The sequence below is a fragment of the Homo sapiens genome, chromosome 15 (genome assembly GCF_000001405.40).
Source record: "Homo sapiens chromosome 15, GRCh38.p14 Primary Assembly".
Lineage (NCBI taxonomy): Eukaryota > Metazoa > Chordata > Mammalia > Primates > Hominidae > Homo > Homo sapiens.
In genome coordinates this window covers 74,122,449-74,147,689 of record NC_000015.10, presented here as the reverse complement: position 1 = coordinate 74,147,689, position 25,241 = coordinate 74,122,449, and the positions used below count along the sequence as shown (strand labels likewise).

The 25,241-nt window shown below is 50.6% G+C and overlaps 1 protein-coding gene and 1 long non-coding RNA gene across 17 annotated transcripts in view, besides 8 other annotated features; one reads left to right on the top strand and one right to left on the bottom strand.

Moving 5' to 3' along the window:
• Window positions 3,052–3,111: an enhancer, noted in NCBI's record as "active region_9743". NCBI's record gives its function as "activates an Ori minimal core promoter by ATAC-STARR-seq in GM12878 lymphoblastoid cells {active_cell/tissue: GM12878}" and the evidence as "EXISTENCE:reporter gene assay evidence [ECO:0000049][PMID:35858748]".
• ISLR2 (immunoglobulin superfamily containing leucine rich repeat 2) overlaps window positions 5,864–25,241 on the bottom strand; it is a 41,509-nt gene continuing 22,131 nt past the window's right edge. For 2 of the 15 annotated variants that reach the window (XM_024450003.2, XM_024450004.2), the window contains exons 3-4: window positions 16,374–16,483; window positions 10,888–14,943 (exon numbers count right to left, since the gene is read on the bottom strand). In XM_024450003.2, the coding sequence (XP_024305771.1) occupies window positions 12,698–14,935 (2,238 nt within the window). In that variant the 5' untranslated portion in view covers window positions 14,936–14,943; window positions 16,374–16,483 and the 3' untranslated portion in view covers window positions 10,888–12,697. Of the gene's footprint in view, window positions 5,997–8,267; window positions 9,375–10,887; window positions 14,944–16,373; window positions 16,484–16,592; window positions 16,875–16,915; window positions 17,137–17,414; window positions 17,442–17,602; window positions 18,317–19,382; window positions 19,590–25,241 lie in introns of those variants that run through there. The other 13 variants (XR_931875.4, XM_017022446.3, XM_011521841.2 and 10 more) reach the window with 13 other exon arrangements.
• Window positions 6,686–7,217: an enhancer, noted in NCBI's record as "OCT4-NANOG hESC enhancer chr15:74432814-74433345 (GRCh37/hg19 assembly coordinates)". NCBI's record gives its function as "activates a minimal SCP1, AML or CMV promoter by ChIP-STARR-seq in naive H9 embryonic stem cells {active_cell/tissue: H9 hESC(naive)}" and the evidence as "EXISTENCE:reporter gene assay evidence [ECO:0000049][PMID:30033119]".
• Window positions 11,169–11,860: an enhancer, noted in NCBI's record as "H3K4me1 hESC enhancer chr15:74428171-74428862 (GRCh37/hg19 assembly coordinates)". NCBI's record gives its function as "activates a minimal SCP1, AML or CMV promoter by ChIP-STARR-seq in naive H9 embryonic stem cells {active_cell/tissue: H9 hESC(naive)}" and the evidence as "EXISTENCE:reporter gene assay evidence [ECO:0000049][PMID:30033119]".
• Window positions 15,980–16,888: an enhancer, noted in NCBI's record as "H3K4me1 hESC enhancer chr15:74423143-74424051 (GRCh37/hg19 assembly coordinates)". NCBI's record gives its function as "activates a minimal SCP1, AML or CMV promoter by ChIP-STARR-seq in primed H9 embryonic stem cells {active_cell/tissue: H9 hESC(primed)}" and the evidence as "EXISTENCE:reporter gene assay evidence [ECO:0000049][PMID:30033119]".
• Window positions 16,288–16,487: a silencer, noted in NCBI's record as "fragment chr15:74423544-74423743 (GRCh37/hg19 assembly coordinates)". NCBI's record gives its function as "represses an EF-1alpha promoter that drives an FKBP-Casp9 reporter gene in an ReSE screen in HepG2 liver carcinoma cells {active_cell/tissue: HepG2}" and the evidence as "EXISTENCE:reporter gene assay evidence [ECO:0000049][PMID:32094911]".
• Window positions 16,889–17,798: an enhancer, noted in NCBI's record as "H3K4me1 hESC enhancer chr15:74422233-74423142 (GRCh37/hg19 assembly coordinates)". NCBI's record gives its function as "activates a minimal SCP1, AML or CMV promoter by ChIP-STARR-seq in primed H9 embryonic stem cells {active_cell/tissue: H9 hESC(primed)}" and the evidence as "EXISTENCE:reporter gene assay evidence [ECO:0000049][PMID:30033119]".
• LOC283731 (uncharacterized) lies at window positions 18,412–21,317 on the top strand. 2 transcript variants are annotated; one of them, NR_152622.1, is made up of 3 exons: window positions 18,412–18,725; window positions 19,066–19,674; window positions 19,957–21,317. It is a non-coding gene; the product is annotated as an uncharacterized LOC283731 (long non-coding RNA). The 2 variants fall into 2 exon arrangements; NR_027073.1 differs by having other exon boundaries at window positions 19,066–21,317.
• Window positions 24,481–25,087: an enhancer, noted in NCBI's record as "H3K4me1 hESC enhancer chr15:74414944-74415550 (GRCh37/hg19 assembly coordinates)". NCBI's record gives its function as "activates a minimal SCP1, AML or CMV promoter by ChIP-STARR-seq in naive H9 embryonic stem cells {active_cell/tissue: H9 hESC(naive)}" and the evidence as "EXISTENCE:reporter gene assay evidence [ECO:0000049][PMID:30033119]".
• Window positions 24,726–24,775: an enhancer, noted in NCBI's record as "active region_9742". NCBI's record gives its function as "activates an Ori minimal core promoter by ATAC-STARR-seq in GM12878 lymphoblastoid cells {active_cell/tissue: GM12878}" and the evidence as "EXISTENCE:reporter gene assay evidence [ECO:0000049][PMID:35858748]".

Here is a 25,241-nt window from a genome sequence, read left to right as displayed (position 1 = left end):
GAATATTTTCATCATCTTAGGGTGGGCAAAGATTTCTTAAATATGGTCCTAAAGAGTTCTAACCATAAAGAAAAAATTGATAAATTGGAGCACATTATAACTAAAAACAGCTCTTCATAAAAAGACACTACAAAAAGTGTGAAAAGAGAAGCTGAAGAGAGAGGGAAGACATTCTGTACAGAAAGCTCATACCCAGAATATATGAAGAATTTCTACAAATCAATAAGAAAAAGACAACCCAATGAAAAAGAGAGAAAGACAGTTTACATAAGAGGATTTTCAAATGGACAGGAAACAACAGTATTCAACTTAATTAATTGTCAGGGTAATGCCAATTAAAAACACAATGCAATACCACTACACACCCAACAGAATGTCTAAAACCAAAAACAGATAATACTGAGTTTGATGAGGACTCTCACGGCTGGTGCAAGTGTAAATTGGTACATGTTGAAAAACTGTTTGGCAGTATCTACCAAAGCTGAGCATATGACAAGACTTCAAACCATTTGTGGAAAAATGGAATTAAAAGATAAAAATAAGAAATATAAACTCTATGTCTCAACATAAGCACCACGAAGTTCTAGACACTTTTGTAACTGATGATACCAGCTATTTAGTCCACCTCTAAAGAACAGAGGGTCCTGGGAATTTAACCATGTCGATGCCATCTTTTAAATATTGTTAACTAAAGAAAAATGGGTGTTTTAAAATATTTTTCTTAAGGTTAGGAAACAAAAAGAAGTCAAAAGGAGCCAAATCAGAACTGTAAGGTGGATGGCTAATGATTTCCCATTGAAACTCTTGCAAATTGCCCACTTTGATGAGGGGAATGAGCAGGAGCATTGTGGTGGAGAAGGACTCTCTGGTGAGGCTTTCCTGGGCATTTTTCTGCCAAAGCTTTGACCAACTTTCTCAAAACACTCTCATAATAAGCAGATGTTATTATTCTTTGGCCCTCCAGAAAGTCAACAAGCAAAATGCCTTGAGCATCCCAAACATCTGTTGTCATTGTCTGGACCACTTCCACATCTTGGTAGCCATTGCTTTGATTGTGCTTTGTCTTCAGGATGGTACTGGTAAAGCCATGTTTCATCTCCTGTTGCAATTCTTTGAAGAATGCAACAGGGATCTTAATCCCACTTGTTTAAAATTTCCATTGAAAGCTCTGCTTTTGTCTGTAGCTGATCTAGGAGCAATGGTTTCAGCACCCAGTGAGTGGAAAGTTTGCTCAACTTTAATTTTTCAGTAAGAAGTGTATAAGCTGAACCAACTGACATGTCTACGGCATTGGATATTTTTTGTGCTATTGTCAGTCCTCTTCAATTAGGGAACAAACAAGATTAATTTTTGGCCAGCACAGTGACTCATGCCTGTAATCCTAGCATATTGGGAGGCTGATGCAGATGGATCGCTTGAGCCCAGGAAGTTGAGACCAGCCTGGGCAACATGGTGAAATCCTACCTCTACTAAAAATACAAAAAATTCGCCAGGCGTGGTGGCACGCACCTGCAGTCCCAGCTACTTGCTTGGAGGCTGAGATGGGAGGATCACCTGAGCTTGGGAAGTCAAGGGAGCAGTGAGCTGAGATCACATCATTGCACTCCAGCCTGGACAACAGGAGTGAGACCATGTCTCAAAAAAAAAAAAAAAAAAAAAAAAAAGATTTTTTTCTTCAAAAATTGACATGGATGGTCTGCTGCTGTGGGCTTCATCCTCAATATATTCTTATTCCTTCTTAAGAAAAGTTATCCATTTGTAAACTGCTGATTTCTTTGGGGCATTGTCTCCATAAGCTTTTCCTAAGGTATCAATGATTTCATAATTCTTCCACCCAAGCTTCACCATAAATTTGATTTTCATTCTTGCTTTGATTTTAGCAGAACTCATGTTGCTGTAATGGAGGTTCTTTTCAAACTCATATCTTATCCTTCTTAGAGCCTCAAACTAGATCCTGTTCAGACATGTTATAACAAGTTAGTACAAGTTAGTGAAAACATTTTGAAATCATGGTTAGTTTTTTCATAATATGCATTTTTCGTGTACATTTTGAAGACTCCTGGAATATATGAGGTTTCAATACAGGCAAAACTAATCTATGATATTAGAAGTCAGGAGAGTGGGGATGGAGGAGTGACTCCGAGGGAGCATGAAGATGCTGCAGGAGTGCTGGTAATTTTCTTTTCTTGATATGGGTACTGGTCATAAGAGGTATTTTCTCTTTATGAAAGTACTTTCCTGAACGTGTGTTAGACTTCAACAAAAATTTAACCAAAAAGGTATACACCTTATGACATGGCCTCAAAAATATACAATGCAATATGAGCAGAATTACAAGAAATAATTGACAAGTCTAAAATCATAAGAGATTTTTAACATGCCTCTCTCAGAAATTAATAAAACAAGCAAACAAAAAATTAAGTGAGGAAATAGAGAATATGTAATCAATAATATTAACAAGCCTGATCTAATTAAAATATAAAAATCATAACCCAATAATTCAAGAATAAATATTCTTTTCAAACTTATATAAACATTTGCAAAAAATTGACTACATCCTATTCCTCCAAGCAAGTTTTAATAATTACCAAATAATCAGCATCACCCAGTCTGTATTCTGACAACGAGGTAATGCAAGTGGTATCAAAAACAAAAGTGTCAGAAAAAAAAACACATACATTTGAAAATGTAACAGCCCATGTCTAAATAATTCATGAGTCAAGGAACAAATCTCACAGAAATAAAATATTTAAAACTAAATGGCAATGTAAACACTACCTATTAAAACTTGGGGAATACTGTTAAAACAGTACTTAGGAGGACATTAATAGCTGTAAATGCATACATTAAAATGAAGAAAGTTTAAAAATTCGTGAATTCAGAATTGAACTCAAAAGGTAAACACTGAGAGGTGCATTGGTCTGAGTCAGACGGAGCCTGTGCCTTATACCAGAGAGAAAATGATGATGTTGGTACCAAGGGGATCTGGGGCAGCTTCACAAAAGGGTTCCATGCTCCAGTGTGGCATTCATGAAAGCAGCAAAGGACCTCTGCGAGAGGACCCAGAGGGAGCTGAGTCATGCCTGCAGACCTCCTAGACTCTACCTTAGGAAGCACCACCTTCAGGCTAGAGAGCTGCACCACAGGCTAGCTCTTCATACAGACAGTGTGGAGTGATGGCTCCCCTGGATTTACAGTTACACCTTGCCCTAGGAACACCCAACAGGAGTGGCATTGCCAGTTCTGCAGTGTGACTGTACCTAGTGACCATCTGACTTGCCCCATGTGACGTCCCCTCTCACAATATCCCAGGACCACAGCAGCTCGAGATGAATAGGAAGAGAGCCCTAGACACTGGGTGGGATGTGGATGATGGGGATAACACCCTTCCTGTGCACTTCGGGAGACTGAACTGAACCAGGTGGAAGCTCCTTGAGTCAGGGTGATGTTAATGGCTCTGCTGTGTATTTCCATACACAGACATCATGTTTATAAGTACCTGCGAAAATGGTCTGAAAAGATACATGGTACCAGGCAGGGCGTGGTGGCTCACATCTGTAACCCCAGCACTTTGGGAGGCCGAGGCGAGCGCATCATCTGAGGTTGGGAGTTCGAGACCAGCTGATCAACATGGAGAAAATCCGTCTCTACTAAAAATACAAAAAAATTAGCTGGGCTTGGTGGCACATGCCTGTAATCCCAGCTACTCAGGAGGCTGAGGCAGGAGGATTGCTTGAACCCAGGAGGCAGAGATTGCAGTGGGCCAAGATAGCGCCATTGCACTCCAGCCTGGGCGAGAGAGCGAAATTCCATCTCAAAAAAAATAAAAAGGTACATAGTACGCTAGTAAGAGTGGTTACCACTGGGGAGAGCTCTAGGATTGCAGGCAATGGTCAAAGAGAGTTTCAGTTTATCAATATTTAATTATCTTAGGACAAGAATGCATTCATATGTTACTCTTGTAATTTAATAAAATTTATTTTAGAAAGAAATTAGAAGTTAACATAAAATGTTAATACATTATTTTTTGGATGAGGGAATTATAAATAATAAATTGTTTTTTTAATACACTTCTATATTTTTCAATTTCCTATAACAACACTAGCAATAGAACTTTCCATTAGGATGGAAATTTTCTATAGCTCTGCTGTCCAAATAAACAATTGCTGTTAGCAATGTGCCTAGTACTTAAAATGTGGCTAGTGGGATTGAGGAACAAGTTTTAAAATTTATTTCACCTTAATTAAAATTAAAATGTAAATAACCACATGTGGCTAGTGGCTAGTATCGGACAGTGCTATTCAATAAGGAGCACGTATTACTTTGGTGCCTGATTTCCAAGGGTTATTTTTCCATTTTTAAAAATTGAGGTATAATAAGGGCTGGGCACCGTGGCTCATGCCTGTAATCTCAGCACTTTGGTAGGCCGAGGCAGGCAGATCACCTGAGGTCAGGAGTTTGAGACCAGCCTGGCTAACATGGCGAAAGCCCATCTCTACTAAACATACAAAAATTAGCTGGGTGTGGTGGCAGGTGCCTGTAATCCCAGCTACTCAGGAGGCTGAGGCAGGAGAATCACTTGAACCAGGGAGCTGGAGGTTGCAGTGAGCCGAAGTCACGCCATTGCACTCCAGCCTGGGCGACAAGAGTGAAACTCCATCACACACATACTCACACACACACACACACAAATTGAGGTATAACAAATTCAATAAAGTATACAACTCAAGTGTGTAGCCCATGGATTTCTACATATGCATACACCCATGTAGCCACCATCCAGATCAAGGTATAGAACATTTCTAGAATCTCAGAAGTCTCCCTTGAGCCTTCTCCTAATCCCGGTTAGTACCTTCCAACTTTTTCCACCAAAAATTAGTCTTGCCTGTATGTGAACTTCCTTTAAATTAAATCACTCATTCCATAATCTTTTGTGTCTTTCTTCTTTCACTCACTGTGATGACATCCATGTTGTGTGTAGCTGCAGTTTGTTCTTCATTGCTCTGTGGTATTCCAGGGTATGAATATACTACAGGTTACTTCCTCCATTCTACTGTTGGATATTTAGGTTGTTTCCAATTTGGGGCTATTACAAATAAAACTGCTATGAACATCGTTGCACTTGCATCCACCAAAGGACTCTTCTGTCTTTTGATGGATGTAAACATTCATTTCTATTGAGTATATACCCAAGAGTGAGATTACTGAGTCAGACGTATGTGTATCTTTAATGTTTCTAGATTGCCAAATATTTCTCCAAAGTGGCTATGCCCATTTACATTCCCAATGGCAACCAAAGACAATTCTAGTTGAAGCATGCATTACTTTTATTTTTATATTTGTTTCTTTTCTTTCTTTCTTTCTTTTCTTTTTTTCTTTTTCTTTTTTCTTTTTTTTGTTTTTTGAGACAGAGTCTTGTTCTGTTGCCCAGGTTGGAATGCAGTGACCTGATCTCCGCTTACTGCAACCTCCAACTCCCGGGTTCAAGCAATTCTCCTGCCTCAACCTCCAGAGTAGCTGGGATTACAGGCGCACACCACAACACCTGCCTAATTTCTTCGTATTTTTAGTAGAGACATGAAATAGTAGTTTGAGACCACCATGTTGGCCAAGCTGGTCTCAAACTCCTGATCACAAGTGACCTGCCCACCTTGGCCTGCCAAAGTGCTGGGATTATAGGCATGAGCCACTGCGCCTGGCCTGCACTACTTTTATAATCAGGAAAAAAAAAAATGCTATTTTGAGAAATAAGAGAAACAGCAAGAGAAATCCTTTTTCTAGACAAACTCTGTAATTAGCCGCAAATTTAACCATATAGAAAATATGTTATTCTATACTTCACTGGTTTGTAGAGGCTTCAGGAGGAGGTTTGGCTTGGTGACTAAGATCTCTGGCATTGGAGTCAGATAACAAAAGGACAAACTTCAACCCTGCAAATTGCCAGCTGTGTGATCTTCAACAAACTACTAACCCTCTGTGCTCTTTGGTTTCTTTGCCTGTAAATTAGAATAATAATATTACCTCACAGGATCACTATAAGGAATGACAAAATAATGCTTGTAAGATCCATAGTATGTGCCTGAAATATAGTAAGAGTTCAATAAATGTTAGCCACTATTGGTATTATTAGTATTTATACTAATATTAGGTGGTGACTATTAGCATTCTTAGTCTAGATGTGTGACAAGCCTCTATTATTAAGACGCATTTGATAATTAATTCTCCATTCCTATTCTCTCCCCATTTCGACAATGATCAATTCTTACGAAGTTCCTCGGTAATTTATATAATCATAGAAATTTTTCTCTCAAATGGCTGGATGCCTTGAATGGCTTTTAGATTCAATTTAAGAAACAGTTTGAGAATGTTGCTGGGAGAAAATGCATTTAATTTGCCAAAACCAAATTAACTCCTAATACACAAGGGAATACATGTAAGCAGTAAACAGTTGATAAAAATACAAACACTTTTTCTCTCCTTGTTCTATGTGGACTTAAACTTAATTATTAAACTTACATTCACATGTTCAAACAAAGCACACACAATTAGCACAATTTTCAAAATCGTCCTGTCTTTAAATCCCATAAATTACTTATTCAACAATGGAATGATACAAAGTCTTTCCAACTAATTTAACCCAACAAGTTGGTTTTGTTTTTGTGCCCATCATGGGGCCTTTGGATGGCTTTTTAAAAAATCCATATCAAGTCTCATTAGGAACACTGGTCATATTTTGAACAAAATGCGAATATTGCAAAACATTTTAAAATTTAATCTCTTCTATATGCCAGTCACAGCAGATCTTTCATTTTCAATATAATGTTATTCTCTATTGAGTCCTAAGGCAAAATCTTATCATTGAACAGATAGGTGTGGGTGGCTACATTTCAAATGTAATCAATGAATTGACACATTACAACTGAAATGGCTCCACTTGCTTCCTCCGAACTGCCCAGCAGGATTTCTCTTATCTATACCTTTATGTTGGAAATGTATAAGGTAAAGGTATTTGTTAGGTCAGACTTGGCAATTTATAGCCTCAACAAGGGGCCTTTCTTATGTCCTGGTACTAGGGCTTGGCTTTCTGCAGAATACAGGCTTGGATTTCTGCAGAGAAAGGAGATCCCCCAGTTTCCCTTGCTCTGTGCTTACATAGTCATGGTCCTTTCTTTGCAGGCGACACCTCCTGTTGTGCAGAGAGCAGGTCCCTTTTTCCCTATGGAATGTCTCATAACTGGGGCTCTGTTAACAAATGTGGGGCAGGGTAGTCATAGCAAGATGCCACTCCTTTCCCTCTACCTACCAAAATGCATTTCCCTGAGATCAAGGAGGAAAAACTGAGATGTCTACCAGGAAGTCACAGGCCATATATGTACTGACAACGAATCTTTGGAGATGTTAGCTTTAGTTGTGGTTGTTATTTTGATGTCATGGGTGGAGGGCTGCATTCCAGACACAAGATCTGGGACCAGAGGACCCTACCCCAGCTGCTTCTTTCTCAAAGAAGCCCTGCCTTCCTTTGTTCTTTTATATTAATGGACTTTAATGATCTTCAAGATGGTTCTCATTTCAGCTGATCTTTAGGAAACATTTAGGGGGAGGAGGCACTCCTTTCAAATAACCTTTCTTTAGACAGGTTTCTGATCTGATTCAAGGCCACATCCTGGCCATCTGGTTTCTGTAACTCAGAGAATTACTGCTCCTGATAAATTGCTCTGAGTTCTGAGGCTACTGCTGTCATATTGCATTCTCCGACCATTTTCCAGGTCTCTCAAGACACACACACACACACACACACACACACACACACACACACACACACACACTCCTCAAGCCGTTAGACTCCATTCCCATGTAGTATCCAAATAAGTTTTACAGCAAGACACACTGGAGAGATTGAAGCTAGCACAGCACATGAAGCATACAGGAAAGGCTCAAAAAAGTTGCATTGAATGGAAAGCCTTGGAGCCAGGGAGAGAGGGTCAGAGGTGAAGATTACACCTCCACACCTGGTAGGTTCTCCCAGAGAACTTGCCAGTGGCAGTCAGGCCTGAGGGGTGGAACCCAGGCAGAGACACATTTTAAACTGCTAAACAACTGATTCCCTGGAAGCGGGGAGTGGAATGTGAGCTCCCCATCTCTGGATAAGTATAAGCCAGAGTTTTACAACCACCTGATGGGGACACTGTGAAAATGAATTCAACCTCAAATTGGTAGTTGAACTGGAACAATTCAAAAAAGAACAGAGAGGAATGAGGGAGAGGAAATGAAAGGAAGACATTTTATTTTAATGTAATTAAATAAGTTAAATTAATTACATTTAAAAAGAGGTAGGAAGGAAGGCCAGAGGCTGGGGACCATTCTGTGCATTGGCCAAACATTTGGACAGAAACTAGAGTTTTCCTGAGAGGGCTGGGATTTCAGTGGGCAGTTGGCAGAGTGTCCCAGCACCCTGGTCCTTGGCCTCCAACACGTATTCATTCCTACCTGTGGTTGGAGCCTTTGGGCCTGGCCAAGCCCAGAAGGCACAAGGTCTAGCTGAGTAGTATTTGCTCATCCATTAGGATACGTGGCCCTGGACAAAGAGGGGCAGAGCTTTCACCTCCTCTCCACCTGCCCTAGTGGCACTCAGGATCCTAGAGGGTCTCGAGGAGGGCCCCCAATTCTTAGGACAGGGAGGGAAAGGAAGGGGCCTGTCTTCCCACAAGAGACCCATGACCAGATGATTGAGTTGCACCAAAACTGCTGAGCACTCACTGGCCCAGCCAGGCCTGTTCCCAGAAGCAATCACGTGGCTGGATTCCTAAACAGGCCCTAGGAATTGGGCCAGTCCTTGCCCCGTGCTCAGCGGTAGGATTTGCAGGTAGAACAAAACAGGTGTCTTCCTAAGAGATAATATTCTTGAGTTGTGTCCCAGGCAGTGGGGTGGACTGCAGTGTTGGGCTGTGACCAGGAGCAGGGCTCAGGCTGTGGCCCTCAGAAGGGAATTTTTCTTGAAAACAGCTTTGCTATGAGATCGGGCTGTTGACAGTTCTTGGTTGGCCCACAGCTACCCATGTCAGTTATCTCCGCTAACATTTCTAAGAATCTTTGTAGGACAATTTCTCACCTGCAAGCTCTTTCAAGTAGAACTCTTCTTTCCTTTAAGGCAATTAGCCCATTGCCTAAAGGTTTTACTGTCTTAAAGCTGGAACTGTCTTTCTGAGATCTAATTCCAAGGACTTCTCCACAGCTAAGTGAGATGCCTCACACCAGTATTAGGTGATTCTTTGTGTACAGAACAGAGCGTTTTCATCTTGTGTTTAAAGCAATTTCTTGGCTTCGGCTCCTCACCACTTTCTATACCAGTCTCCCATTCACATCCCTAGTAATGCCTATGCAAAAAAAAAAAAAAAAAAAAAGAGAAAAGAAAAAGAAAAAGCTGATGGTGAAACCTACAGGTTTAAGGGCTTAAATCTCAGACTTTGTGTTAGGAGTAACAGGAGTGTGCTGAGAGGGCAAGCAATAAAACAAGTCATACGAAAAAGCCACATTGCTCTCTCCTAAGCCCCAACCCCACTCCACTCCTGTGGCCAGTGGTCCAAACAGAAAATGACTGGAAGAAGACGAGGAGGTTAAAGGATCAGGGAACAAAGCATTATGTGAATTCACCAAGAAGATGTACAGAACGCTTGTGTTTACATTGTTTTTATGGAACTAGCAGAATAAAACTGATCTATTTTAAAAATAAAAAAATAAAAAAAAAAGAAAGAAAACAGCTTTGCTGGTCTGGGAAGGGAATCTGGGCTCAGGCCCCAAGAAGTGTCACAGCCACCACCTATGCCAGAGGACAGACCTGAGGCTGGGGTAGGACCCTGAGCATTGGAACTTGGGCCTGTTGCCAGCCTGGACTGGTCCAATTAGGAAGACCCACAGAGACAGCAAAAGAGGACAAGAAATTGGAAGCAGGAAGAAGGGAGGGGAGAGAGAGAATCTTTATCTGCTTCCCATTTCTGTTGCTTTCCTCTTCCATCTCTCTTCCCCGCCTCTTCCCATCTTAGGGGGATTCAGCTGAGACACACAGCAGCCCAACCCGTGTGTTTTAGGCTGGCCAGGAGCACAGTCTCCTTTCTTGATCCCCCTGTCTCTCCTGTTCCTCACCCAAGAAAGCCCCTTTCTAGGACTATGAAATCAGTGTGTTTTCAACCCTGATTCCCCAGGTGCACCCCCTTGGCACACCCTGACGGTTGTGCATGCATCATTCACTGAGTGCTCCCCACCCACCCACACAACGCACACACTTGGCTCCCAGGCCAAACGTGCCGGCTCGCTCTGGGCAATCGGCCTGGCCAGGTTCTCCCCCTTTCCTGCTTTACATCATTTGCCCGCTCTGTACTTTGTGTTATTTGTGACTTCTCTTGTGCAAGCCACAGCGGTCTTGTCCCTATGAATCCCATCCTCTTCCCACCGGCTTCTCAGGGAACTCAAAGGCTGATGTGGAGACACAGAAACTGGGCAGTGTGACACCATATACAGCCACACCCCACTACACAGACAGTCTCAAGTGAAAGAGGGTGCCGCACACCCTTGAGTGCAAATATACTTGCACGCACACTCAGACTCCCTGTGTTCAGGGTCTGCAGACACCCGCCTTCCTTTCCTGCAACCTCCCCCTACTCACTTGCAGCCTGCCCTCGTTTTTTGTCACCCCACCCTGGAGTTGGAGACACTAAGAGCAGGGCTGGGTGCAAACACCTGGCAAAAAAATCACAGGATGGTCACGCAAACAGGAAATCACTCAAAAGATTCCAACGGGAGGCTCTGGGGGGGCTCCTTCCTTCCGCGGTTTCCTCCTTCATCGCCCAGGCCTCCTCCCTCTGTCCCCTGACAAAAAGTCACCGAGCCCAGTTCAAATCGATTGTTTTATTGACTGCATACAGACGCGTTTAGAAAAGGGCACGGGCTCCGGGGGGCTACTCCGTCCCAGGCCCGCGCTTGTGCTGCGCTTCGCGGAGAGGGCTGATCCCGAGGACTGAAACTCCCCCCACCCCAACCCCGACGCTTTCTTTCAAAATGGAAAAAAGAACCCCGCCCCGAGTCGCCGCGCCGCGCCCCTCCCCTTCCCTCCCTCCCCGCCCATCCGCCCCCCCGCCCGCCCCCCTACACTACACGGTCACACTTCACAGGACACAGACTTTTCTCCTACAGGGCACGCTTGTCAGGGACTACACGCCGGGCAAACACGATTCCCGCCGAAGCAGGGGCGGGTGGGGCGGGGCGACGCGAGGACCGAGACGCGAGGACGGAGGGGCTCGGCTCCATCCGGATCCCGTCGCACAGTCGCACAGTCACGAGCAGGCTTTGTGCGAACTAGGGCGCGAGCCCTCCAGAGAGCCGCGGCCCGGGAGGCCACAGTCAGCTTCCTCCGCCTCCGGCGCTTTCCAGCTAGGGTCTGGGTCGGGTGGAGCCGCGGGAGCGGCGCTGTTGGGCGCACAGACCTCCGGAAAGCCCAACACACGGACAACGAAATTGGCCCGCGACCAAGTCCACAGGCTCAGCCGCCAAGGGGCGCGCGGTCCTGCGGCGCTTTAAGTTAGGAGAGAGACGACAGAAAACGCATTCCCTCCCTACCCCCCGACACACACACTCGATTTTCCCAGAGGCTGGGAAGGGGGTGTTAGCACCAGACCCGAAATGTCGCTGTCTTTGAAAACAACGAAAACAGGAAAATCTGAGCGCGGAGCTGAAAGGCGCCCCAGGCACCGGGCTGGACTCCAACTGGCCAGAAGTGGGGTGGGGGTGGGAGGACAGAAGGATTTGGTTCCCTGCCGGCAGGAGGCTTTGGAACTAAAAACTAGGGGTTGCCACGAATCCCGGCTTCTGGGAGTAGGGATTGAAAGGGAGGAGGGGCCGGGCGCGGTGCCTCACGCCTGTAATCCCAGCACTTTGAGAGGCCGAGGCAGATGGATCACCTGAGGTCAAGAGATCCAGACCATCCTGGCCAACATGGTGAAACCCCGTCTCTACTAAAAATAGAAGAAATTAGCTGGTCGTGGTGGCGCGCGCCTGTAGTCCCAGCTACTAGGCAGGCTGAGGCAGGAGAATCGCTTGAACCCGGGAGGCGGAAGATGCAGTGAGCCGAGATCGCGCCACTGCACTCCAGCCTGGCGACAGACCAAGACTCCGTCAAAAAATAAATAAATAAATAAATAAAATTAAAAAATAAAAAAAAAGGAAAGAAAGAAAGGGAGGAGGAGGGGTCGAGGTGGGACCCCACAGCACTCCACTGGCCTTGGCTGGCCCCCGAAACCACCGCGTTACCGCGAGGTTTCCAAAGTCTTCGCTCGTTTCCTCTGGCTCCAGAGCCCACGGTGGGGCGGGCTGCGGGGTGGATTTCGCAGATAATCGCGACGGGAATGGAGGGACATAGATATCGCCCACCGTCTGCGGGTGGAGTCTTGCATGGGGTAAGATAAACACTGTGCTTGGCGGGGAAGGGGATTCAGCCCGCAGGGAGAATGGCAGCCGTGGGTAGCAGGGACTGGTGAAATCGGCCCACTCCCTAATAGAAGTCCCTGGTAGTCAAGGTTGGGGAGTAGTAAGGGGGAGGAGTAGGTGAAGGTTGGGGACGGGGGACATAAGTCCTGCCAGCCCTAGACTGCTGCTCCCAGGCACCCTAGGTGGAGGTCGGGAATGGGCGGGCCGGACGGGCGGAGGTTCAGCCTGCCGTCTGCCTGTAGTTGCCATTAATCTCCTGGGCGATGTTGACCGCCTCGGCGCCCAGGGGCAGCCGATCGCTGTACTCAGAGCCCGCCTCGAACTCCTCTTGGTTGGCCTTGGACTGGGACTCCACCAGTGAGCAGGCCGCCAGGCTCTCCTCTCTCTGCAGGTCCCCACTTGGGTCTCCCTGCTCCGCGTCTTCATCAAGGCCCTCCCCCTGCACGTCCTCTGGCTCCTCGCCGCCCGCCTCGCCGCCTGCCGGGTAGCTTTTCTCGGACTCGAGGTACGAAGCACGCGGGTCGAAGTCTGCGGCGATGCGCTTCTCCATAGGGTCAGGGGCCTGAGGCCGCAGGATCAGACGGTAGGGCTTGCCCGGGTGTTTAGCCAGCAGATGGCAGCAGGCGGCGCCCAGAAGGGGCACTGTGGCCAGCACCAGGAGGAATACGCTCACTGCCACTATGACCAGCAGCGATGGGAGCTCCTTCTTGGTGGAAAACACCACTTGCACGTGGCAGGCTTCGCCCGCCAGCGCCAGGCACACGGAGTAGTTGGTACCCGGCCGCAGGCCGCGGAACCAGTAGGCGTTGACGCCTTCCTCTACGCGGGACCACTGCACTGCCGCGCCGCCCCCCGCTGGACACAGATAGAGTAGGCGCAGGGGTCGCCGCCCGGGTCGCGGGGCTCCGCCAGCCCCGCCGGGCCCAGGGCCCCAGCGCGCAGCCAGCGGAGTCAGCTGCACCCGCGCCTCGCGCTCCGCCACATCCAGCGCGATGACGCCCAGCTCGAAGACGTGCGGCTTGAGCTCTGCGCTCTGGTTGAACGCGTGGTTAGAAACGTACCGAGAGGGGTCCCCGTTGCCACAGCGCTGCTCCTCCGCCGGGTCCGCGAGGATCTGGTCTTCGGCCTCCTCTCCCTCACTTGTGTCCTCCTCCGGCTCCGTCTCGGTCTCCCCGAGAATGCTGACCTTGGCCAGGCCTTGGCCTTTGATTTTGCCCTCGGGTTTGGAAGGCAGGACGCTGTTGCCCCGGCCCTTGGCTGTGGACTTGCGCTCAGAGGTCGGGGCCTGTCCGTCGGGTTCTCCCCCGGCGCCAGGCGCGTGTTTTGGGGGCCCGGTTGCTGCCACCGCCACGCGTATTGACGTAGAGTTGGCGCCCAGCTCATTGTGTGCACGGCAAGTGTAGACGCCCGCCTCCTTGGCACTCAGGAGGGGCACCAACAGGGAGCCATTTGCGAGGGCCAGGAAGCGCGGTGTGGCTGGGGGCGCCGGCCAAGCGGGTGCTGGAGTCGGCGTTTGGGCTTGGGTCTGCGTCAGCAAATCCCCATCTCCTTCTCCCTCTCCTTCCTCCGCCCCAACCCCGTCGTCCTCCCCGCTCAGAACCGGTGGCTCTAAGACTACGGTGCCACCGGGGATCTGAAGTTGCCATTGCAGGCGAGGCGTAGGGTGGCCGTCGGCGATGCAGTGTAACACGAACGCCAGTCCTGCGCGCAGTGGGGTGCCGGGTGCTTCAAGCGGTGGCTCGGCACTCAGATGCACGCTGGGCGGTGCACAGGGCAGGGCGGGCAGGCGGTACACCGGCACCCCCTGCAGCGCGGGAGGCGAGGCACAAGCAATGGAGTCGGGCTCGGGTAAGGACACCCGGGTGCTCGCGGCCCAGGCCTGCAGCCACACAAGGCCGCAGCCGCAGTGGAAGGGATTGTGATAGAGTTGCAAGTGTGACAGCGCGCTAAGCGCGTCGAAGGTGCCAGGCGCCAGCGTACGCAGCCGGTTGTTGTTGATGCGCAGGGAACGCAGGTCGGGTAGCGCACCGAGTGCGTCCCGGGGCAGAGAGCCCAGGCGGTTGTGGTTCATTTTGAGCAGCTGCAGCGCGCTCAGGTTGCGCAGGTCGCTCCACGGAAAGCTGGATATGAAGTTGTGGCTCAGATCGAGGTTCTTGAGCTGACTCAGCACGGCCAGTGCGCCTGGCTCCACGGTGCGCACCTCATTGTGCGCCAGCCACAGCGACGTGACCTGTGTGACGTCGGCGAAGGCCCCGCGCCGCAGCACAGTGATCTTGTTCGCGGACAGACTAAGCGTCGTCACGTTGGCAGGCAGTCCTTCCGGCACCTCACGCAACTCTTTGTAAGCGCAGTCCGCGAACTGGTGAGCGTACTTGTCCACGCAGGCGCACGGCTCCGGGCATGATCCGGCCACTCCTAGAAGCGCCCAGACCAACCACAGGGCCCGAAGGGGGAACATCGCGGCTCCTGCAGATGGAAGCCAGGTGAAGAAGAAAGAAGGTGACTCACTGAACCCCAGCTTACCTCCCCTATCAAGCTGTGCCTCCGCAAGCCCGTTTAGCACTAGTTCCAGGGCTCCGGTAACCTCCTCTATGGCCAGGAGCCTCTCTGAAGTGAAGGTCAATAAAAATCTCGAGGTTCAACGGATGCTCCCTCCCAGGGCCCTAATTTCCTTTTCCAGCGGCCCGGTATATCGCCCTTTTTTCTCTTCCTACTCCTTCCTTCACGCTGGAGCTGGCCCCTCCGTGGGCTCCGCAGCTCGCCCATCTCCAGCGGGCTCCTCACGTACCCCTCTCTGTGTTTCTAAGCCTTCGTTTAACCTGGTGAAATGGATCCTACCCAAGAAGGACATTTTTGTCCGTGACTGGCTGTCCTCCCTGGAACCTTTGTCCCACGCACAGCACTCGCACACACGCCCATGCAGGCACACAACAATACAAACAGACGCGGGGCTTCATAATCAAACCGCCAACTTCTGCAGGGGTTTAGAGGACCTGATGCTCAATTAGGAGGCTCACAACACATTTCCTAAACTCACAAACACATATGCACCCAGACATGGACACAATAGACCCTGCAGACCTCATTGTTCTCTTAACCAGCATTTGTACGTGTTTTCCACCACGGTACAAAGCGCTTTCCTGTCCATTGTGACAATTGACAGACACAAGGACACAAGTCCTCACACGAACCGACCCACCCACAAGAACACAGGCATGTGCCTGTGTGTGCATACAGCCCTCCACTGTGACCGAAACCCAGCAGAGAAGCAATAGGAGGACCTGCACTGCACGACTTGAGATGTGGGATCTGGGGAAGCCCATCCCCATGCCCTACTGCATCTAAGGCCAAAGTCACCTGCCCGGGGCTGCAGCTCCTGTGAGGGGAGAAGAAGGGCTGCTCTGCCAACCTTCCTTACGGGGAAGGAGGTTCTCCCCCATGTTTGGACCAGGTGTGTTGGGAAAGCGGTCACTAGAGCTTCCTCTCAGGTCCCTCAGGCGGCTCCCATTGGGCAGAGGCGTCCTCAGCCAACAGGTCATGGGGCTGCCACTAGCTAATGAAGCTGGAGAAGATGAAAGATTCTGCGCCTTTCTCCACAGCTCTGCGGTGCCTAAGGACCCCCTCCCCATAACACCTTAAGCCCGGTCACACAAACGAACTTGCACAGACTCCCTGCCCCCATTTGGAGCGCCTGTCAGGTTTGGCAGAGCCCCTCCCACAACTTGTCTTTGGGAACCTGCTCCTTCACTCTGCCTTTGCTCTTCTGGGAGGGTCCCTTCCCTCCCTTCCCGGTTCCTGCCAGACAGCACCCCCACCAGCCCCGCACCCCATCAGGTGCCCTAGGCTGGACCTAACCCCACCTGGGTCAAGGTTGTGGGGTGGCCCCCATTGCTTACCCAATATTCGCCGACTCTCAGTAAATGTCCTGGGGCTGAAACCCCTTCTCCAGACCCGGCGTGGCAGAGCAGGGAAGATAGCCCAAGCAAGATACACGCATGTGTTGTGGCTGTGGGGAAAACGGGGGGCGGGGGGCAAAGAAAGGGACAGGTAAGTTTGGGGACTTGGTGGCCCCAAAGTACCACTTCAATTTTTCCTTTTGCGTCCGTTTCCCCCACCTCTCTGGCTGCAGGTTGGAGAAAGTCCTTGCGCACTCCCGGGCCTGGCGGGGACGCGCATAGCCTCTCCCGCCTCCTGCTTGGTCTACTTTTGTTAAAGCCACGGAGACCCTCCCCAAGGCCAAGACACGTCGGTCATAAGGGGCATCCCACGCCCACTGTCCTGGCTGGGCTCTTCGCAGCCTACTGCACCCCCATAACCCACGTACCCCCACATTTACACAGCCGCTGGCATTGTTACTGTCCCTGATCACACCACCTCCCCCACCCCACGTTCAAACACATTCGCGCACACAGTCCCTCACACCCTCCCCATAGCCGACCTTCACAGTTTACAATCATCCATGGTCAGGTAATAATCGCATCAATGTGTTCAGCCCCTGCTACATTCACACGCATTTTCACGGGCACACCTGCACCCGGGACACTTACCGTTCTCCTCTCGCACACGCATACACACATTCACGCGAACTCACCCTCACGCGCCTGTCCCGCCAGCGCCCGCGAGCTTCGCTGCTAATTGAATGCAAGCCGCTTTTACGCCCTGCAACACGTGAGACAAACCATCTTTGAGGAATTTGGGGGAAGGAAAGGCGCGCGGCTGAAGTGGGGGGGGAAGGCGTGTCTTTGCCTTTAAACTCTTTTTGCAAATGCAGGCGGTGGCACCGACAGACTTCGAGCGGGACCCGCTGAGCTGCGCGCAGCCGAGCTCGCGCGGACCCTTCCCTCCCGCACCCCCCGCTGCTAGCCGCCTCCTCCCCGAAGCCACGTTCAACATGATGCATAATTGATAGTGTTAGCAGAGCGCCGCACCCTCCCTACCATTTTTGCCTGGATCTGGGCTGATATAAGCCCTAGTCTCCCCCGCCCCGCCGCCCCAACCCCCCCGCCCCGCCTGCTAGTCTAACCCGACACCAGAACGCACAGCCCTGCAGGGCGTGCTGGGAAGGGACACCCCCCTCCCCAGCCCACCGCAGCCCTGCCCAGCCTCTTAAGCCGGAACTCTTTACTTCTGGTCTTTTGTGGCTAAACCAGCGCTTGAAGCCCACTGCCCGACGCGTTGGCCTGCGCGCACCGCGGGACAGGTGGAGCAGGGGGAAGCTCTCTCGAGCGCACCCAAGCACCTCACTCCAGGTCTTGCCTGCTCCAGGAGAACGGGGCACGGAAGCTGCAGCAGACAGTAGCACAGACAAGGATGGTGGCAAAACGTCCGCTACTCTTGAGCACGGTGGGCTGGGGACTTCAGGCCCGAGCATTTCTCCCATATCTGCCCCCCATATCTTCACAGCCTCTCAAGCAGACACACGGTCAACCCCACACGCACTATCCCCCAAGCCGCGGTGGCCCCTCACCGCCCCGCCGTCTCACACCCTCACACAACAGCCGGCTTCGGCAGACTCGCTGTTCCCGACTGTCGCTCCCTAGCTCTGATGAAACCCCGACATTTCTTTCAGCGACGAGGAGGCGGAGGCGCGGCGATGTCGAGGCATTTGGCTAAAACCCGGTTTCCGCCCCCCTGCGCTGCCCACGTTAGCCCTGGAGACAGCTACCGGCCATAACCAGGAAAGGGGTTCAGGCTCCGGGAGACACGCAGAATCCCCACCCATTCTGTAGCCACTGAGCTCTCTGGGAGCACCAAGCCCCACAGCCATCACCCCGGGCCATGGGGGTCTCTCGATGGCGAGGGTTTGGGGCTTCCGTGGAGATCAATACCCCGATTTGAGTGTTGAGCATCTTAATGAGCTAGGGGAGGGGGTGGGGAAGAGAGACAGGCTAAGAGCGCAGCGTCTAAAGAGACCACCCGGCCCGGGGTTCCGAGGCTGCTTTGTAAATTAAATATGAACAGACTGGTGCGCTCACACTCCAAGCGTCCCTCCCTCTCCCCTACTCCTGCCGTCGCTACGGGCGGCCCAGCGGGCTGAGACCATCGCATCTTGCTCAGCCCCAGTTCAGAACACAGAACTTCACACCGCCTGCTCGGGCCTGGAGTCCCCCCCCGCCGACCCATGGGGAGGGCGCAAGGCGCCTTTCAGGGAAGGTGTCTTCGAAAATGGTCGAGGGGTGAGAGCACTGTGACCCGTCCCTGCCGGGGATCCTGTGGTGGGACAGCCAGGATTGGGTCCCTAGCCCGGGGTGAGTCCCTGAGGTTTCTAGGCCTTGTGGGGTCGGGAGAAGGAGGCAGACGGCGGGGCCAGCACACCCTTCTTTGTCTGCCGAACAAGGTGGGGGTGGGGGCGGGGAGCGGCGTCTTGGGCAGTTGTCCGGGTGTTGGGAACCCTGAGGGGGCGGTCTTGGGAGCCTGTGCCTGGGAAGGATATTTGGAGGCAGGGGCCCAGCAGCGGGAGCTGAGTCCGGTCCGGCATGGCGTGTCCAGGGGACTTTTCGGGACTGAGTGAGGGGCGCCAGGCGGGGAGGCTCAAGGCCCTCCGCCGGTTTTTACCTATTTTCTTTCTTTCTTTTTTGCCTTCCGCAGGGAGGCAGAATCTGGGTAATGGAAGGGAGAATGGGCTCGCTATCTGCCCAGAGCTTCCCTGGACTGCAGGAACCCGTCCTATAAGCAACCCCGAAACTTCGGGGCCCGAGGACCAGGGAAGACCCCCTTTCCTTGCTGTCTTGACAGGGTTGCAGAAGCCAAGGAGTTCGGCAGGGAGACGGGGCTCCTGGGGTGGTTAAGGACGCGGTGACCACCCCTGGGCGGGAGCTGACTCCCGCGGGCCCGGAGGCTCTAGCTCACTCTACAGCAAATGCTTTTGTTCCCGGAGGCTGCCCTGGGGGAAAGACGCCCCTTACCCCTGCCTTCGACCCTGGAGAGCCCAGTGCCCGCCCGGGCAGGGCTGGAGCCCGAGTCGCCCCAGGCAGAGTCCGCCGAGGCCTGGGGTGGGAGCCGCGACTTCTGGATCTGCCTCCGAGCTCAGCTAGAAGACTGCGCGCACCTCGTCCGGCGCCGTCCGGCGCGCAGAAGCGGGTCTAATGTTTATAACGTTAATAATGACAGTTAGGGAGGGCTGTGGAGCCGGGAACCAAGACCTCATCCCGCCGCCGCCCACGTCTTTGATCATTAAAGAAACAGACAACTAATCAGGTGTGTGGAAGTAGGGGTGGGGGAGGGGAGGGTGACAAGGTTCCAAGCCGCTAGCGCAGAGGGTCCCAGATTCAGAATCTGCCGAATCCAGACTAAGGCTTCTAACCAGGCTGGAGCCGACCCCAGACAGACCCAGGAATGGAGAGCTGGAGCCCCTGGCCGCTTTCTGCGGATCGACCCTTAACTTCAACGTCGCGAACCCGGAGCGTCGGGAGGGTGGGGAGGGTTGAAACCGGTTGGATCTGGGGACTTGCTCCAGCGACTCCATCCGCGCTGTTCTAGGGCCCAAGCCTGGTCCGCGCGCGCCCCCTGCTGGAAGCCGCTTGCCGGGCGCAGAGGCGGGTCAACGGCAGAGGGTGCTGGCTGGGCGAGGAAGATGTGGCTGGAACCCTGCACCAAGGCGACCGCTGCTCACGGCTCTGCAGTCCCGCGGCGCGATACGCCAGTGGGGCGCGCTTAACCAAAGTCCCGAGGCTTTACTTCCCGTGCCCACCCAGTCTATGTCCCAGGTATCAGCAACCTCTGGTCCACTACACAACACAGGCGCTGTCCCTACTTCGCGCTGCGTAGTTTCCAGTGCCCAGGGCGTCTCCTAATTCTTGAGCGACTAGTCCCTGGCACAAAACCTTCCTATACACCTCTCCCACTCTCCCTTCTCTCTGAGTCTTATGACTTTGTCAGGGGCCTATTAAAATAAATGTCTGAGATCTGGAAAAAAAAATCTGTTGGCGCTAACAGGGGCAAAGAAAACTGCAAAATTGGAAGTAATCGATGTTTGATTGAATGTTTAAGACATGCGACATTGTGCAAACGATTCTGTTGCAACTGCACTCAGAGTTGTACTTGCCCTTGTATTTTAATGTGGCACGCGGAGGATTTAATGGACTTGCCTAAAGATGTGGGAAGGGCCTCTGAGAATAAGAAAGCCGGGGCCCAGATGGGCATCAAACATCCCCAGCATAGCAGCCGGTTAAGGCTGCGGAGACCTTCCCCAAGGCTGCCCTCCAGTCAGAAGCCCCTGAACACTCACTACTTCCCATCTTTCAGCTTCTGCGCGCACAGACACACACACACACACACACACACACACACACACACACACACACACACACACACACAAATGTTCTCTCCAGCCCCACACCCTCAAGAAGCTGCTTTCCTTTTCTAATTTCCAGTCGAAAGATCACTCCTCAGGGAAGCCAGGCCCTGTTTATACTCCCTCCTCCGGCCTTTCCTTGTACAGGTTCTATGTAGTCGTCAGGCGGGCAGGTCCTAGCGTCAGACTCCATTATGTACTGACTGTGTGTCCTTAGCCAAGCTATTTAACCTCTCTGTGCCTCAAGAAAAAAAGGCATAAATAAGAGTACTGACCAGGCGCGGTGGCTCACACCTGTAATAATCCCAGCACTTTGGGAGGCCCAGGCGGGCGGATCACAAGGTCAGGAGTTCGAGACCAGCCTGACCAACATGGTGAAACCTCGTCTCTGCTAAAAATACAAAAATTAGCCGGGCGTGGTGGTGCATGCCTGTAATCCCAGCTACTCAGGAGGCTGAGGCAGGAGAATCTCGGGAGGCAGAGGTTGCAGTGAGCCGAGATAGTGCCACTGCATTCCGGCCTGGGCGACAGAGCGAGACTCTGTCTCAAAAAAAAAAAAAAAAAAAAAAAAATACCTATGCTTTTCGGTCACCTTGAGGATTAAATGAATCAATGTACGCAAAGCACTTAGTACCTGACACTTAGTGCTCAGTACTTGAGATACGTTTTTTATATAATAGCTGAATTAGCCATTATTATTGCCTTGCAGAGTGGGACACAAGTTTGATAAAAGGTTCTGCTGCACACACCCCTACAGGCTTGTGTCCTGCCTCCTCCACAGGGGAGCACCTTGGCTCTGCCCCCAGACCTCTTCACCACCACCACCCCCTTTGCACACACACACACCATGGGTATATGTAGAAACCAGATTTACTATTATTATTTGTAAAGGTTTCTAGTTTCAGATACTTAGACTGATGCTTGTCAGCATGCCTGTTTGCAAAGAGAGACCCGCAACTGCAGACTTGGTGGAAGGTTTTTAATTAAAACTACATTCTGTTTAAGTATTTATTGGACTTTGTGACTTTAATTATTTTCTAGGGAAAAACAAAAAAATCCACATTTGCCTATGAGAAGACTGTTGATTTCAGAGGAAAGTAGCAACCTGTTGCAGTTTGCTGGAGGCAACTGAGAGGAATTTTCTGAATGGTTCAAATGAAGCTCGACATTATTAATAATCTGGGATCCAGCCCATGACCCTCCTCCCAGCATTTTCATGAAATTAGCTTAACGTACTGGCAAGGCCTTTTATTGCCATCAAAATTAACAGCAGCTCTTCCAGTGGCAGCTCATGTAATTATCTGGGTCTGTGCTTGTCTCACTGAATAAGAGGAACTCCTGCCTGGAAGAGGCGATACTCCTGCATTCAAAGGGGAACATGGCTGAGCAAGATGGCTCATGCCTGTAATCCCAGCACTTTGGGATGCCAAGATAGAAGGAATATTTGAGCCCAGGAGTTTAAGACCAGCTTGGGCAACATAGTCAGACCTCATCTCTACATTTTTTTTAAATTAGTTGGGCGTGGTGGCACACAACTGTGGTCCCAGCTACTCTGGAGGGAGACTGAGACCAGAGGATCGCTTGAGCCCAGGAGGTCGAGGCAGCCATAAGCCATGATCACACCACTGCACTCCAGCCTGGGCAACAGAGTGAGACTCTGTCTCAAAACAAAAACAAAAACGAAAACAAAAAACAAAACAAAAAAACACCAAAAAACAAGTAAGGGGGGCGGGATGCAAAATGCTTGGCAATCCCACCCCAATTCAGGCAGGACTGGTTTCCCCAAGAGATTTTCTGAGGCAGCCAGCTCCTCCGTGGCAGGACTTGCCATGGTAAAGGGTAGGGCCGGGTGAGGCAGGGGAGTGGGGGCTGGGGATGATGTGTAATATTTCCATCGGCAAATAACAAGATTCCCACCCCCAAGGATGGAAAGTATTAAGTGTATCGTCTCACAAAGCAGGAAGCAAGGCTGGCTTCCCGGCTGTTGATTCAGCGGCTCAGTGACATCAGCAGTTGCAAGTTCTTTCATCTCTCCCCTCTGCCACCCTTAATAGGGCTTCCAGCCCAAGGACTGGGTCCCTTGGTGCCTTGGTGTCACTGGAGGGCTTCCGGAGCCACCAAGGAAACATACCTATTGTGTTTTTTGTTTTTTTTTCTTTTTAGATGGAGTCTCACTCTTGTTACTCAGGCTGAAGTGCGGTGGCACAATTTTGGCTCACTGCAACCTCCACTTCCTGGGTTCAAGTGATTCTCCTGCCTCGGCCTCCCGAGTTGCTTGGATTACAGGTGCGTGCCACCACACCCCGCTAGTTTTTGTATTTTTAGTAGAGACAGGGTTTCACCATGTTGGCTAGGCTGGTCTCAAACTCTTGACCTCAAGTGATCCTTCCGCCTCAGCCTCCCAAAGTGCTGAAAATTACAGGTGTAAGCCACTGTGCCCAGCCACAAACGTAATGTTAACAGACTAGTGGGTTAGAAAGACAGGCTTCTCTTTTCCGAAGCCACAGCCTCTCCCCTGGGTCTTGACACCTATTGTCATAGGACTGTTTATCTCTGAACCAGTCACTGGTGAAGGGGATGAAACTGATTGGTTCAGAATAATTATCTGGCCCTGATATGGCTATAGAGGAGTCAATCCCAAGGCTCACTACAAGCAAGAAATCCCTTTTAAATAGAAGGATTGGGGAATTGCATGTTCAGAGTAGCCTAATATTGTATCAAAATGAATTGAAATGAGAATGACCAGGATTATAATGGACCATACTAGATACTTCCTTATCTGGAGTTTAGACCAATCTATATCCACAGTCTGAGATCACAGTCAGGGTCAGGGCAGTGTGTGTGACCAACTTCAGGAAACTCTGGTAGGCATACAAACCAGAGGATTCTTTGCTTTCACAGAATTCTTGGATCGATTGATTTATTTTTATACTTATTTATTTATTTGGGCTGAGGATCAAACTGTATTGTCCAGCTGGCCTCAAATCCTGGGCTCAAGTGATCCTCCTGCCTCATCCTCCCAAGTAGCTGTGCCTAGAGGCACACATCGCACCCAGCTCTTTCACGGAATTCTTGAAAGGATAAAAATCTGTTCTTGGAAATGCCTGTGCTGGGATCCAAAGCTATTTTGGGAGCAGTGGAAGCTTCAGTCTTTAGTCGGATATTTATGAACAGGAGATGTTTATGAACTCAAAGATGTCCCTATATGACTTCACATCCTGAACATGTCTCCCAGTCCCATGGCAGAGAAGAGAGGCACTTTTACTGTTGAGGTGGAAAACAGGAGGAATAATTCTACCTTGGTCTTAGGAAAAATGTGGGGCAGTGCAAAGTGGGGCAGACCACACTGGGCTTGGAGCTCCACAACCTGAAAGCTCACTCCAGCTTCACAAACTCTCTAAGTGGTCTTAAGCAACTCCTTGCCCTCTCTCCTTCTAGGTTTCCACCCATGCAATGGTAGGGGAATGGGCTAGATGTGTGTCTTGAGGCCCTTGGGTGCTGTGGCCTTAGAAGAAGCCAGTTTGCAGGTTGAGTTGGGGCTTTTGGGCCGCAGGCTGCCATCTGACAGGGCTTCCTGCAGGAAGACACCCTCCTTGGGAGCCTGGGGTTGTGGCTTCCTCTCTTCCTCATGGCCCTTGGCAATTTCTGTGTCTCCCCTCCCATCACACTGCAACCCGCCTCCCGCCTCATCTCTTGAGGCCCGCTTGGGTCCCAGGAGCTAGCCCCTCCCCCAAACTGCTGTGCACTGCTCTGTGGGCAGAGGGAGTCTTCCTGCTTCAAAACACTTACCAAAGGCTCTTTCCATAGCAAGATTCAGGGGCGGTTGGGGCACTGCTATTTGAGGTTAAAATCTGATCACTGAATATTTTGGGAGCCTGGCACATTGACCAGGAAAGAACAAGGCTGCCACCCCTTCCTGCTCTGCAACTCTCAGTCCTCCATTCCGTGGGGCCATCACAGGACACAGAAAGGCCACAATAAACACACATTCAGAGAACCCCCCACCACCTCCTGTGGCCTCCTGCAGACCGCAGGAGGGCTGGCCCAGAGTCTCCTCCTCCTCCTCCATCCCCCAGACTCAAAGCTCCTGGGGTTGGGGGGCTGCGCAGGGCCTTCCCCTCCACTGTCCCCATCAAAGCCCAGAACAGCACAGGGAGGGCACTTGGTGGGCTGAAATAAAACTGACTTTTCCCTCAGACCTTCAGTCTCTTGCTTTCAATAGACTGTTTTCATTTACTCTTGAAAGTGGCTTCCCAGAAGCAGAGCTGAGACAATGTTTTGTGTGCAGGTGGCTGTTTAAAAAACTGCCCAAGCGAAAAACAACCAGAAGAGAGAAGGGGAAGTAGGAAAGGAAGAGGAAGAAGCTAAGCAAAGGTGTGATTTCAGGCACAGTCTCAATGTTGGACTGATCCCAGGAAGCTCCAGAATGAAAATGAATCCTGTTTGTCCCAATGAGAGGCAGGGAAGCTCA